At 46.2% G+C, this 15818-nt stretch overlaps 1 long non-coding RNA gene across 2 annotated transcripts in view, besides 1 other annotated feature; it reads right to left on the bottom strand.

The window, feature by feature from the left end:
* The window catches only part of LOC105377732 (uncharacterized), a 139446-nt gene that overhangs the window by 99965 nt on the left and 23663 nt on the right, over positions 1–15818 (bottom strand). The window lies entirely within an intron of this gene.
* Positions 11352–11853: an enhancer, noted in NCBI's record as "H3K4me1 hESC enhancer chr5:172839619-172840120 (GRCh37/hg19 assembly coordinates)". NCBI's record gives its function as "activates a minimal SCP1, AML or CMV promoter by ChIP-STARR-seq in naive H9 embryonic stem cells {active_cell/tissue: H9 hESC(naive)}" and the evidence as "EXISTENCE:reporter gene assay evidence [ECO:0000049][PMID:30033119]".

The following is a 15818-nucleotide window of genomic DNA, read 5'->3' as shown; positions in this document are numbered from 1 at the left end:
TTCCCCTCCTTTCTCATGGGGCTTGGGCTTCCCAGAACTTGATACAAACTAGGTCTCTCCCAGCTGTGGCAGAAATGCAGCCCAAACTCCCATAATTTAGATAAAGGGTGGTTCACTAGACAGGACTGAATCTAGGACACCAGTGAGTTGCTGGGGTTTTGCATCTCTCTTCTCTGCTTCTCTCTGAATGTTAGCTACATGTTTCCTACTAGTGATGGGCCCTCTCCATGTGGTGGGAAAGATGACCATGAGAAGCCCCAAGTTCACTTCATGCCAACACAGCAAGCTCAGAGGCAAGAGGCAGGCATTCCCACCAGCACCAGGAGGAATGTCCTGGCCATCTGGAACCATATGACTGCAGGACAGTGTTCTGAGTGGCCTTGGACCAACCCACTCAAGAGTTCTGCTCACTCTTGCTGGTAGATCTCATGAATAACTATAGAATGTACTGAGAATGTAACACCCTGAGATACGGAGGGACTGGCTGAACATCTTGGGCTCTGGTCCAGCCTCCCCTAGAAACAGAATGTCCCCCAACACTTTAGCCCAGTGAGTCATGTAACCCTGTGGTATGTAACCCGGGTAGGTGTCCTTACAGGGTCCCTATTCTACAGTGCAATTCAGATATGCACCGTTCAGACTCCATCCACCCCAGGGAGCTTTCTTAGCATTGGGAGACCAACTCACAATGAATCCTAGGCTTCTGTGTCCCTTGCTGCCTACCTATAAATAGTGGATCCACTTCACATAATTTGTTGCATATGAGTATGTTCTGTCTCTCTGGACTCAGACAGATTGGTAAGCAGTGCACAGTGAACCTGCTTCACAGACCTTCCCGGGACAGATAACTGTCACCAGGGCAGTTATTTGGCAGTACCAACTTGAATCACGTCTCCACACTCGTGATTGGCGCTGGGGTGTGGCAGTTTGTTACCAAGTGAAGAAAAAAGAAGCATTAGCTGAAGTTTGACCTAGATAGGCAAAGATGTTGCCCAAAGTATCACAGCTAGGGAGCTAGAGAACTTAGCATCCAGGCCGCAAGAAGCCATGAAAGAGGTCCTGTTGGAAAGTTCTCCAGGTGCAGAACGCTCCATACTTCTAATACCATTTGCATAAGAAAGGGTAAAAGTAAGAGTGTCTATTCCATTTGTATTTGGGTAAAGAAACTCTGGAGAGACAGATGCACAAAAAAACTAGTACAAGTGATTCCTTACAGGGTGTGGGAAGAACAGAGTGGACAGAGATCGGAATGGTTGTGAGATTGCTCACTGTATGTCTCTCTGTATGCTGTTTTTATTTTTAATCATTTAAAAATATTACCAGTTTTGGCAGGGCGCAGTGGCTCATGCCTGTAATCCCAGCGCTTTGGGAGGCCGAGGCGGGTGGATCACCTGAGGTCGGCAGTTCGAGACCAGCCTGACCAACATGGAGAAACCCCATCTCTACTGAAAATACAAAATTAGCCGGATGTGGTGGCACGTGCCTGTAATCCCAGCTACTCAGGAGGCCGAGGCAGGAGAATCACTTGAACCCGGGAGGCGGAGGTTGTGGTGAGTGGAGATTGCGCCATTGCACTCCAGCCTGGGCGACAAGAGTGAAACTCTGTCTCAAAAAATATATATATATAATATATATATGTAATATAAAAATATAAACATATATATAAAATATATATATGTATATATAAATAAACATATATATAAACATATATATAACCAGTTTTTAAATATATGTAAATTAAATTAAAAGTAACCCCAAAAATTCATAAACGAAAGATAGGAGGGAAACAGGCTAAATGATAACAGTACCTGTCTTTGGATGTTAAGTCTAAGCATAATTTTTTTCCCTCTGAATTTGTTTTCCAAATTTCTTCAGATGAACACGTATTGCATTTTATAATGAAAAGAAAAGAAACTAAAAGGTCTAAACTAGATAAAAAATATTTTCAGAATTATTTCTGCTGTGTATATTCATCAATCACATGACCCATGATGCAGAAATAATAATAATTCTGAAAATATCCTATCAAATGATTTTTTCTTTCCTGTAAATCAAGTCACCCTACAGCTCCCCAACCATTCATTGCCTCAGAGGGCCAAGCAATGGCTGAGCTTTGAATTTCAAATAAGATTTGTGATGGCAACAGCAAAAAAAAATAGTTTTGAAAGTCAGGCTTCATTAAGAAAAGGGATTTTTAGACTCCAAAGTGCTTCCCTTGCAAAGAACACTGCGTGCTAGTCTGAATGCACTAGTTGGAGAAAAGGCAGGATTTGACAAGAGGGGAGCTCTCTCCCCCACAGAAAGAAAGAAGAGCCCCTTTGGCCTGGAGAGTGGCTCGGAGGAAGCAGAGAGATTGAGAGGGGTGGAGGAGGTGGGGTGATGGTCTCACCCTCAGCCTGATCTCTGCAGACCCAGCAACCATACCCCTTCCTGAACCTTGGCTAGATGGGTGAGGGAGAGCTCCAGCAAGCAAGAAGAACCCCCAGATAAATCAAGGGAAAGGAAATTGTTACAAACTGATTTGTGTTCCCCCAAAATTCATACATTCAGGGCCAACCCCTGGATATCAGAATGGAACCATCCTTAGAGATAAGGTCTTTAAAGACATGATTAGGTTAAATGAGGCCTTAATGGTGGAGCCCTAACCCAGTAGGACCAGGGCCCTTATAAGACGAGGAAGAGACACCAGGGACACACATGCAGAGAGACAACCGTGTGAAGAGGCAGCAAGAAAGTGGCAGCCTGCAAGCTAAGGAGAGAGGCCTCAGGAGAAGCCAACCCTGACAGCCCCTTGATCTCGGACTTCCAGCCTCCAGATAAATTACCATTGCTTAAGCCACCCACTCTGTAGCATTTTGTTACAGCAGCCCTACCAAACTAATACAGAAACCATCTCGCAGAATGTCCCTGCTACAACATCATATGGCCAAGCAAAATAGAAATAGCCACGTGTCGTGGTTAGGCCAAGAGGCCAGGCTGAGACAGTGCTCCTAGTGGGCAGTGGTCAGGAGACCCAGAGGCTCCCTTGAGTACTGGTTGGGAGACAGGATCTGCCAGTACCAGCAGACCCAGAGAGGCCCACACAGTGGGACCAGCCTGCGTCCAAACACAAGGACCTCACCACCAAGGAAATGGAGAAATACTGATGTCAGTAGTGGGTGCTTCTGTGGCCCCAAAGAGACCAGGAAAAGTGAAAACCTCCATTCAGGACACGTGCAGGATGTCAGGGACTGGGTCCCATCAGCTGCGCCACAGCAGGGTACAAAGGAGGGCTGCAGAAGCTCCCCACACAGTCACAGCGCTATTGAGCACCCACTGGCCCCTTGAGATCTCCTGGGGAAAATGGAAGGAGAAGCGGGAGGGAAGAAGCTCTAAAAGATGATCCCAGCCCCCAGCCCCCCACCTGGGTGCAGTGGCTCATGCCTGTAATCCCAGCACTTTGGGAGACCAAGCTGCAGAATCACTTAAGGCTAGGAGCTCAAGATCAGCCTAGGCAACATAGTGAGATTCCCATCTCTACAGAAAAAAAAAAAAAAAAAAAGATTATTTCTCCCCAAAGAGTCTTTTCATTCAGAAGTATTTAAGTTCCCTTTAACTACCAAGTTAGAAGTTTTTCCACCATATTTTTGTTGCACCTCTGCATTGCTGTGGATTCATTTCCAACCAAACCATGGGTGTTAGTGATGGTAAGAAGACATCTATAAATGAGACATCAAGAAAAATGACCTAAACTTGGCCAAAGCAGTTATTAAGCCTCAGGCGTCATAGCACAGAATTCAAACTGCCTTGAAGGACATGCAAGCGGGTAGGGTTCCAGGACCCCTAAAGGAGCTGCTTGGGCCCTCTCTTGAGATGTGGCGGGGACCCCAGAAGAAACGTTTTATGAGATTCTGGTCGGTCTCACTCGAGGGTGAGTTCCTGCCCAACAGCTTGGAGGTCTTCCTGCTTTTTTCCATTTTTAAAAGAGCAGATGTTCTCCTGGGAAAGAGATATTTAGCCACCCAAACAAATCAGAGAAGCGGAGGAATGGAAATAAACCAGGCATCTGCCTGCCACCGTGGCAGTGCCCAAAGAAATCACATTAGCTGGAGGGGAACATCCGGCCTGAGCGAGGGCTGCTCAGCTTGGCGTGGTTCCTGCCCAGAGCCAATGACGAATACGACTCTTTGTTCTGGTTCTCGAAGTGAAGACGGTCTGTGGGCTTATTTGTCTAGTTTGTTGACTCTCATAAAAGACATTCATAAATTTATTCTTGGTGCCAGGGGTGCTTACTGGTGTCAAAGTGGAGTCTTTTCAGACAGTTGCTCCGTGTTAAAACAAGCCACTCAGATGCATCTATAAATAATTGTCTGGGGCTTCGTTGAGCTAACAAACAGCTTTTTCCCCCCTCTCTCCTCTCTTTTTAAAATCAACTCTAAAATGATTTCATAAACAACGAGAGGAATTTCCCATTAATATTAAAGTGTGTCTGGGTTGGTCATTTTAATAGAACTTTCCAGAGGGAACAAGCAGTTCTTCCATCTTGTCCATATGAAACCTGTTCCCTTTTCAGACTAAGACATTTGGCAGCCCAGCCTCACTAGGACCAGTCATAGCTTCCTCTCCCCACCACCCTATGTCCATCTCTTTCTCTGATTTAGCCAAATAGAAGGATAAAAAGGCAGTAAGCAGCTGCAGCCTGGGCCCATCAGGAGAGCTTGTCACCACCCCGAGGCCTTTGGGGTTTCCACTTCAGGGTTTCCACTCTGACCTCAGGTCTCCAGAATTTTGTTTTTCAAGCCATCTTGGTTAGAAATTATGGCTGTGTCAGTTTCACTGATATAACAAAATTCCCTCCTGCCAGCCCCCCTGCAAATAACGGTAGCTTAAATAAGACAGAAATTTATTTCTCCTTTACATAAAAGAAGTTCAGAGGTAGAAAGCCCTGGGCTGGTATGCTGGCCCCACAGTGTCACCTTCTGTCTTCAAAATTTACCATTATTGGCAGGTCACCTCATGGTCTAAAACAGCTGTTGAAGTCCAGGCATCATGTCTGCATTCCAAGCACCCAGATGAAGAAAGAGTAGGTAAAGGTTATTCCTTCTCATTCAAGGACATTTCTTGGAATTACCACACAATACTCCTTACACGTCATCAGACAGAATCTAGTCAGATCACCTCACCTAGCTGCAAGGGAGGCTGGGACATGAAGTCTTTTCAGCGAGGCAGCAGTGTTATTTGAAAAGGAAGAATGGACTTCGGAAGGCCACCAGCCATCTAGGCCATGAGGATGAGTGCATTTGATAACCTCCCATAGAGTCTTCCAGCAACTACAAATCCACACCCCCACACAATCCTGCCACTGCCCTATTTTTAAAGAGTTTCCATTTTCACATCCCTTCCCTTTAAAACTCATTATCTTACTTTTTTTTTTTTCTGAGTTGGGATTCTGAGAAGTTGGACCACTAGTCTGATTTAAGTTTAGTTCTCACCAGGTCAGGAACACACATTGGCTTAAACTCCTGCCCCATGAACTGCCTCCCATATTCTGAAGGTCATAAGAAACCAGGCATGTAGATCATTCCAGAAGGATTTCTATAAATACAACTCAAAATAAAAAATGTGAGTCTTGCTTCATTCCTGCTTCATGCAGGGACCAGCAAAAATCTTCTGGGCCTTGCGAGGCCCACTAGGGAAGTTACCAAAGTCAAGATCAACAGCAAAGCTGCTATGGCCAGAATTAATGTGGATGGACAAACCCACTGCCTGGGCCAGCCCTGCAGACATGACGGACAGTCAGTTGCTCCCTTGGCCCCAGCCTGGATTCTGAAGATCAACCTCAGCTTGGACCCCACACCTTGTTTGAGACTCCAGACACCGGCCCTGCTTTGTCACGTGGTATTTCAGCAGACCATACGTGGTCTTTATTAGCTGGCCTCCTGGTGCCCTCCTGCCCTTATATGCCACCCCACCAGCCCAGCTCAGTGTCTGCTCTACTCCACACCAGCCTCATTACTGACACAACGAACGCCATTGAGGATGGAGTGTCAGAACATCCTCAACATGAAATCCACCCACCTACACTGGGTGGGTCACATGAGTAGAGTGAGTGGTATTAGGATGCCCATGCAGTTGTCATAGAAAGGTGAAGTAAAAAAACAAGTAGGAATGGCAAGGAAAAACAAGCCACAAAACAGCCTTCCTTATATTGGATTCCGTGACATACCAGCTCCATGCAATGTTGATAGGTGTGTCCAACCCTGAAAGCCTGTTCAGCTAAGTTTAGAAACCGTTGCCTTTAGAAATTAATAACTTAACAAATTAAAGCTTCTGAGAAGGCCTGCAATAAAGAAAGCTACTTGTTTCCCTCATTTGGCCCAGCATTTTCTCAACTGCTTAACTACCCCACCTTTCCTTCTGGAATGTCTATTAATGTCTCATAAAACCAAGGTTCATCAGGACACTAAATGATGCAGTAAAGCACTGATGGCCATAGCTACTTCTCTGACTCTGGAATCAAACCACTGACATTCAAATCTCGGCTCTAGCATTTTTTTAGCAGTCTGACTTGAGCATGTTATTAAATCTCTTTGTGCTTAGTTTCCTCATCTATAAAATAGGGGTAATAATAGTATCGACTTCATAGAGTTGTTGCAAGGATTAAGTGAATTATGCATATGGAATTCTGAAAACAGAATAAAGTTCATTATGATGTGATGACAATGATGAAGATGACAATGAAGATGATGATGATGACAACCCTGATGATGTTGATGATGAGGATGACAACAACTTTCTCCTGGAAACTTTCCACAGCTTATGAGTATGTTTCTCCCAGTGGCCAGCACTATGGTTATGATTGTCTCTACATCTCCAACATCTAACACAAGGCCTGGATGCTCCATAAATATTTGTTGAATGACTAACAGATGGAAACCTGAAGTACAGCATAAGAAATCACAAAAAGCAACAGACTCTTTGGACAGTAGCTACAGGTAAAAATCAAAGCACTTCCCCCAGGAAACGGGACTTATATCTGTCTTCCCAAACATGTAAGCAGGTCATTGGACACCTAGAGTGTGGAACGACAACTGGATGTCACACACGCCATCCCACAAGCTGAAATAGCACATTGGCACCTTTCTTCCCCCTTCAGCTAATTTATTGATCTACCACGTGGCCTGGGTTAGAAACAAGGGTTGGCTAACTGTACCATACTATTTTGATCCTTGGTCTTAGTGAATGTGAACAAGAAAACTTACAGAGAGGGTCAGCAGCTGGTGCAAGAAGCTGAAGTTGGAACTCAAAGAGAGAGAAAGAGACAGAGAGGGTCAAAAGTGGAATTGGTAAAGAAGAGAGAGGGACAGAGAGAAGTCAGGTGGTGGTGGTAGCAGGTGTGGTGGAAGCCTGGAGAGAACAAGTTTGGTCAAGCTGCAAAATCAAGTACAGAGCCTCTTCCTGGAGGAGGAAAGCTTTGTGGCCAGCAGTGTCCATTGGCCTGGAAACTCCACAGACATTTTGAGGACCCTAAGATGGAGGGAAGAAGGCAGGAGGAACTCAGCTAGGAGTGGAGGAGCCAAAATATGTCCAGCAGCAGCAGCCACAAGAGCACCCTTTGGGGGAGGCTCCTATTACATGCCCCTGCCCACAGCCCCACAACCAGGGCCTGAGCATTACACAGTTAGAACAAAAATACAACCTTCTACAAGATACAAGCAATAGTACAGAAGCCAGTCTTGGAGGTTTCCCCTTACATGCTGTATTAGTCCATTCTCATGCTGCTAACAAAGACATACCCAAGACTGGGTAATTTATAAAGAAAAAGAGGTTTAATGGACTCACAGTTCCACATCACTGGGAAGGCCTCACAATTGTGGCAGAAGGCAAAAGAGGAGCCAAGGCACATCTTACATGGCAGCAGGCAAGAGAGTGTTTACAGGGGAAACGCCCTTTACAAAACCCTGAGCTCTCATGAGACTTATTCAGTATCACCAGAACAGCACAGGGAAGACCCACCCCCATGATTCAATTACCTCCCACCAGGTCCCTCCCATGACATGTGGGGATTATGGGAGCTACAATTCAAGATGACATTTGGGTGGGGACACAGTCAAACCATATCACATGCCCAATTCCTGCTGCAGCCCAGCTCTGGATTTCCTCAGTCCTTCCTTATTCTTCTGTGTACACATCTACGTATTTACACACCCATACCTGCAGGCCCATACTTTGCTTACATGGTGATAAAGGTCCCTGAGTCCTTACATCACCTTGTCTGCCTCAGCTGTGGCCCACCATGGGGAATGGAGGGAGCCCTGCCCAGGCTGAAGATAACGTTGGGGGCTGGGGAGCAGGAGAAAGCCAAGAGCAGCCTCATGTGGGAACCCAGAGTCATCTCTCCTCACGCACAGCCTGCCTGTGGCTCCCCATTTTTGTCTCGTTAAAGCCATGCCCTCCCAGCTTCCAAGATTCCCCACCATGTGGCCCTGCCTCCCTTCCTTCCACACACACACTTCCATGCACGTTCCCAACACAAGAGACTTCACGCTGGCTGTTCCCTCTGCCTGGGACACTTTTCCCCTAGGCAGCCACCTCCCCGCTTCAAGTCTCTGCTCCAATCTCACCTTCCATGAGAGACCCACCCTCAACCCCTAGATACTGCTCCCACCTGCTGCCCCATCGCCTATCTCAGTCCCTACACCCTGCATCTGGTAATAGACAGGTCATTTATTTGCTCATTGTTAACTGTCCAATCCCCACAAAATGTAAGCTCTGTACCAGCACACATCTCAGCCTATGTTGGTCAACAACGCACTTGAAGCGCCTACACATGCCCCTTATGTCACAGGCACCAGGGAGGAAGTGTTGGAATGGACACATGGAGGTGGGAGGAGGAAGTGCTAAGTCACAGTCAGGGGAGGTGGGCTTTCCTGCAGCCACAAAAGGCAGGGGTGCAGTGATTTTATTTGGCTATTAAAGAAAGAGGCGGAAATTTGGGTAACTGAGATGGTGGAAGGGGTATGTAGAGAGCTATAGTCTCAAAAATACAAACAGCCAATTTTCTATGGGGTTGGGATTATGAGTGCTTTGCACTTCTATTTTATATTATGCATATATAGTGAACATGGATCAATATTTATGTGTAATATATACATTTATGTAGTAAATATAAATAAATATAATATGAATTATAATTATATAAATGTAGACATTTATACATAAATATAAATAAATACTTATAAATATATAGTTATATAAATATAAGATAAATATGCTTCATATAGTATATTAGAAATGTTATATTTATATCTTATATATTTACGAATTTATATATTTTATATGCTGTTTGAGTGTTTATAATGAACCTACATGTGATTTTGTTAATTTTTATTGAAATCCTCTATGGAAAAGCACAGTGAATGAATGCGCACAGCAACATCCACTGCGTGCATGCAGAGGAGACTCTGGCCCCTGAGATCTGAGGTCAGCCTCTGAGGTCAGGGACACGGCACCGTGAGCATTAAGGGAGGACATGAGACCCTTGTGGTATAACCATCTGGGACCCAACCTTAATCTAGTCTCCTCCTCTAGTCACACAGCCCTGATGTTCCTTGGGAAAGTGCCACACATGCACGCATGCACACACACACACGCGCACACACACACACACACACACACACAGTGCACAGATAAGGTGACCAGGCCTGGTCACTCAGAGCATCAGAGATTAGTTCAGGGATGTGCATGTGACCCAGTCAGAGTGCCTTCCATGGCCCTTGCTGAAGACCTAAAAGCAAAGCACAGTTGACCCTTGAACAACGCAGGGGTTGGGGCTCTGACAGCCCATGCAGTGGAAAATGTACACGTAACTTTTGGCTTACCAGAAACTTAACTACCAATAGCCTACTGTTAACTGGAAGCCTTACCATTAACATAAATAGTTGAATTAGCACATATTTTTTATGTTCTATGTATTATACACCGTTTTCTGTTTTTTGTTTTTTGAGACAGAGTCTCACTCTTGTCTCCCAGGCTGGAGTGCAGTGGTGCCATCTCAGCTCACTGCAACCTCCGCCTCCCGGATTCAAGTGATTCTCCTGCCTCAGCCTCCCGAGTATCTGGGATTACCAGCAGGCGCCACCACACCTGGCTAATTTTTGTACTTTTGGTAGAGATGGGGTTTCACCATGTTAGCCAGGCTGGTCTTGAACTCCTGACCTCAGGTGATCTGCCCGCCTTGGCCTCCCAAAATGCTGGGACTACAGGCGTGAGCCACTGTGCTCGGCCTACACCGTATTCTTACAATAAAGTAAGCTAGAGAAAAGAAAATGTCATTAAGAAAATCACAAGGAAGAGAAAATATATTTACTGTTTTTTAAGTGGAAGTGGATCATCACAAAGGTCTTCATCACCTTCACATCAAGTAGGCTGAAGAAGAGGGAGGGGTTCGTCCTGCTGTCTCCCAGGTGACACAGGCAAAAGAGGTGGAGGAGGTGGAAGGAGAGGCAGAAGAGGCAGGCACGCTCGGTGGAACTTTTAGTTTTTTAAATCCACATGTAAGTGGACCCGCACTGTTCAAACCCATGTTGTTCAAGGGTCACCTCTACTCTCTTTTTCCACTGTTGGCGGCCATCCCCCCACCATGAGGTGAACACCAGCCTGAGGACAGAGCCAACAGAGAGGGAAGCAGAGGCAGGAAACAGAGCCCCTGCTACACCATCTGGACACCTGAGTGCAGCCATGCCTGAAGCCAGCCTGCCCTTGTCCTGCTCAGTGTGATGAGCTCATTGTGCTTAGGTCAGTTTTCTTAGATGCAGTTAATACAGGGGCCCTGGAGATACAGACCTGGGTGTTCTCTAGACTCATCCACATGGGGAAGAAGTCTGCCCATGGGCTCTCAGCCAGAACGCATGTGGTGAAGTTTTGTGACCAGAAAAAAAACTCCTGGAGCAGAGAGTGTCCCTGCTTCATCCAATGTCCCCTCCACACCAACCCCCCCACCATCCCCTCACCCAGGAAAGTGTATTTGCTGTTGCCGGTACCCATCCCCCACCTTCCATGTGTTTTGTTCCAAAAGTCTGAACCTGAGAGAAGCGTTTGGGAGTTGACAGTCCTCTGGGGTGGCCCTCAGCCAATGCCTGACGATCCCGGGGTATGAAAGCCCAGCTCTCTACCAGCCCTGAGTAGTAGCTAACACTCCAGAGTCCCCTGCAGGATCAGACTGAAGCGACCCTCATGGGCCTCCGGCTGAGGCGTCCCTTGGCTTCTTCCCCTGCCCTGTGCTGCTTCCCATTCCTCGCTGTTTCCCTGGAAGCACTTCCTCCACACATCAGCCGCGTGCAAATCCTCATCTCTCTGCAGAACATGTCTTAAGAAAGGAGCTGCAAACAGGCGAAGCCAGGTGGGCTCTGAGCATCCCCCCCACAGCCCGGGGCTGGTGTGCCTGCAGGTCACCTTTCCCAACCCGTGCTTTCCATCTCACTCCGAAGACAACATACAACCACGCGGGCTCTTCTTCCCTCCTCTCCCGGCAGCCCCAAAGCGGGGAATGAGCTGTCTCCGGGATATCCACCACCACCCAGAGTGGCCACCGGGGCCAAGCTGGCTCCCTGCCCAGGGGAAAAACAGCCACATGCCATGGGTCATTCAGGCATGCAATTCCTCATCCCGGCTCTGAACCTGGCCCCTAGGCCTGCCTACACCATGCTCGTGGACTCCTCCCCTCATCAAGCTTGCCTTTGTCTCACCACACTGCCTCTGGAATCTCCAACAGTCACCAACTCAACTCCCGTGGTTCACTGACCCAGAGCTCTAATAGGCAGCTCTCCAGACCCATCTTGGATCGGCCCCATAGTGCATGTGCCAGGACCACACAATGGGCGCCCGGCTTCTTCTGTTCCCGGGGGCACGGGCAAACTGTATAGTTATTCTGCTACCACTAGCTAAGCATTGACTCAGAACTCAGAGGGAAAAGGAGCCTCTCACCTCTTGGTGGTGGTCCCTCTCCTGCTCCTTCTCCACAAGAAGTGTGTAAACCTTGTGACCACACTGAATGGGCACTGCTGTTTTTGTCTGCCCAGAAGCCACTCCCTCTTCTACCAGTAAGAACACCCCAGACCGTGTCATTCTGAAGACTCCAAGGGTGAGCGGGTGGTCGAAGTCTGGCCAATCAGAGTACAACAAAATAAATAAATAAAACTCTCGCCACAGTGATTGGTTTGGGAGGCCCGTGAGCACAACCAGGCTGGTGAGACTTGATTGTTTGACATGGGATTGTTTGAAGGGAGCGAGATGCTTTCCTTCTCCTGGATGTGAGGCTGGAAGCAGGTAAGCTTGGAGATGCCAGGAGCCCCCGTGGGAGAGTCTGTCCAAGGGAGAAGTCAGTACGTTCTCTTCTCTGTTATTGTTGGGATGCTGCTGCTGTTGTTTTTCTTTGCTTTTCTGCTTAAGCCGGTGTGAACTGAGTTTTTTTCCTGTCACTTGCAAACAAACGCATAGTGACTAAGAGAAATTCCAATGGCCAGCAAGGTGTGATGGAAAAAGTACAAGAGAAGTCACTGCCTCTAGCCCCAGCTCTGCTACTAATTTGACATATGACTTTGCTCAAGGCCTTCAACATCTAAAACAAAGGCAGTGGGTATATGATGCATAGATCTCTTCCCAAGCTTTGAGAAGAACATGCTAGGTTTGTCTTCACCTTCCTTTCAATGGAATCCTCTTTTGAGGCCCAGTTCAAATCACCAGAATGCCTGCCCTCCCTGGAACCCTAGGGAAGCCCTCTCTCCCTGCTTTGAACTCCTGCAGCATTTATTCACCTGTGCACTTATTGGTTCTTATACCACCTTCATATGTTCATGCATGTGTGGTGTGTCCCTCAAAACTCAAGAGTGGCTAAGCTTGTTGCACTTCACCATAATCCAGGCACTATGCTAAATCCATTACGTGCCAGCTCCTATGTGGTCCTCACCTCCATCTTGCAGGTGGAAGACAGTTATTAGCTCAGTCTCTCCACCGTAGAGGTGAAGACATGGAAGCTTGAAGGAAACAAGTCACTTGGCAGAGGTCACCAGGCTAGGTGCGCCAGGACAGGGATTCTTGAAGATGACAAACTTCTGCATCATACCGCTCTGCTTCACAGACACGGCCCTGGCACAGGGCTGCTTGTTCTATATTGCTTCCTTCCGGACACCTGCCAATGGATTTGTCTGTGGTGAACAGATCTCCAGAAGATGCAGTTCCAGCAAAAGGAAGGGTCAAATAGCATTTGGGGCTGCCTCTCCCAGCAGCCCAGGTCTGTGAGTTGGTGGGGGAAGCATCCCAAGGAACATGCCACTTGCCTCCCAGCTTTGCCTGCTCTGCCCAGACTGCATCCCCTCCACACAGAGCCCCATTCACCATCTGGCCAGGAGGTGAGGCGTCATCCAGGGAGTTCTGAGGCCACACTCTGGAGCTGGAGGGCGGCTGGCTAACAGACGAGCAATTCACCCCTGCAGCAGAAGAAATCCAGTCCCAATCAAGAGCTCTCACTGTCCATCCATGACCAAAACAACCCGCACCCGTTCACTGAACCCTGAGCTGGGCCCAAACATTAATTTTGTTACCAAACACAGTGGAACAAACCAAAGTGTTTTTTTCCAGAAAAAAAAAAAAAAAATAGTAGACCAGCTTGAACCTGAGCTGAACCCGTATATTTTCTAAAACTACTGAACAGGAACAAAAATCAGATGCCAAAATGTTCTGCAAATGAAACCAGCCTTTCACTCTATCCAACTTCTTGATTTGGAAAGCAAATCAGGCAGGCGCAGAGGGAAGAGGAGCATTTGACTTCCCTCGAGTGGAGTGTGTAATCCTGTTCTAAGGAACACCGTGTGAAGGTTGGAGACTGGCTTCTGTTCAATGTGGTGGGAAAAAATGTTATTTTTATTTTAACCTTCCATAAAGATGAATCAGAAAATTTCAGAGCATTTAGTTCCTGTGGTGTTGATGAAAGCATTTCAAGGATTGATCCATTATAATAATACATCCTGAAACTATCAGCTGAAAGGACAGGGCCTTGGGTCCTGGCCCCACTGCCTGAGTGGCCTTAGGCATCTTAGAGGGGCTGGGGTCACCAACAATCAAGGTCAGGTGTGGCTCTCGACAGCCTGACTTGGTTGGGCATGGAGTGTCCACATGGGTATCATCTTTTAGAAAGTTTGATTCACACAAAAATAAAGGCAACCAGACTTCGTGCCCCAAGAAGAGAGGGGCTGAGCCGGCTGGACTTGCCTTCCTGATCTCATTCTCCCAGCTGCTACACAAGCGACACTCAGAGTCCCAGAGCAGGAACCAGAAAGCCTATCTGCAGAGAGTCTCTCACCCTAGCTCCAAACATATGCGGACCACGCCAATCCCAGGGCCTGAAGAAAGAATGCAGTGTGGACAATAAGGAGCTGATAGAAAAGAGGTCGGGTGAAAAGCCACAACCATCAGCAGTCCACACCTTCAAAGCATGAGCCAGTGAAAAAGATTGTTCCATTGGCCAAAGACCAAATACATCTGTTTTAAAGACTAAGGGCAATCAAAATGTTAACGGTAGGGACTTCTGGGGCATGGGAATGCAGAGGTAGGGGCAGGGGAGAGGACTTCTGCTTTCTATGTTACACTTGTATCTCCCGTTTGGCTCCTTCATAAGGAGGATCTGTGCATTGCATTTATAATGTTTAAAATAAAAGGCTAAAATGCAACATACATACACGGCTAGGCATATGTCAAAGGCAGAAACCACAAAGGAATGATGATGGATTTGACTGCATAAAATTAAAAAACTTCTGAATATAAAAAAGGAAATTACCTTAAACTATATTAGGAGAAGAAGTTGTTTATAATATAAAAGATAGTAGATATTTATTATCCTTAACATATAAAAAACACTTAGGGAAAAACCACACTCCAATAGAAAAATGAGCAAAAGATGTAAATAAGCAATTCATGAAAGAAGACACACAAATAGACAATAAACATGAAAACATTCATTCACACTAATAATTCAGGAAACCCAACTAAAAGTCAAATAACATTTTTGCCTATCAAACCAGCAAATATGCTTAAAATTTTTTAAGCACTTGTTGATAGGAGGCCAGACAGGAAAACAACCTCATACACTGTTCTAGGAGGGTAAATTGGTAAAGCCTTTTGGGAAGGCAATATTGCAAAATCTACTAATAACTTCTAAAATATGCATAAACTTTGTCATAGCAATTCCATTTTTAAGCATTTATCCCTAATGAAAATCATCATGGCTAAAGATACATGCATTTAGGTGTTCAGTGAAGCATTGTTTATACAAGCAAAAAGTTGGAAATAGCCTCACTGTCTAAACAATGAAGGACTGACTTAATATATTATGGCACTACGCACAGGGAATAACTATGCAGCTATTAAAATGTTGATAGACAAAAAAAATGAAACAACATGGAAATTTTCATGATATATTGTTAAGGGGAAAAAGCTAATTACAAATGGCATGTATAATATAAAACCACTTTTATAAATAAATATAGATATATATCTGCTTTTAATTTTTAAATATCTGATTACAGGCAATTTTTATGTTTTCCTCTTGTAATTAAAATGTTTTATTTGTTAATAAAAAATGCCCGGTGCAGAAATGCATCCAAGGGGAGGAGGAGCCAAGATGGCCGAATAGGAACAGCTCCGGTCTACAGCTCCCAGCGTGAGCGACGCAGAAGACGGGTGATTTCTGCATTTCCATCTGAGGTACCGGGTTCATCTCACTAGGGAGTGCCAGACAGTGGGCGCAGGCCAGTGTGTGTGCGCACCGTGCGCGAGCCGAAGCA

Source organism: Homo sapiens, chromosome 5 (assembly GCF_000001405.40).
Source record: "Homo sapiens chromosome 5, GRCh38.p14 Primary Assembly".
NCBI classification, from domain to species: domain Eukaryota; kingdom Metazoa; phylum Chordata; class Mammalia; order Primates; family Hominidae; genus Homo; species Homo sapiens.
This window is presented reverse-complemented; position numbering and strand designations above follow the sequence as displayed.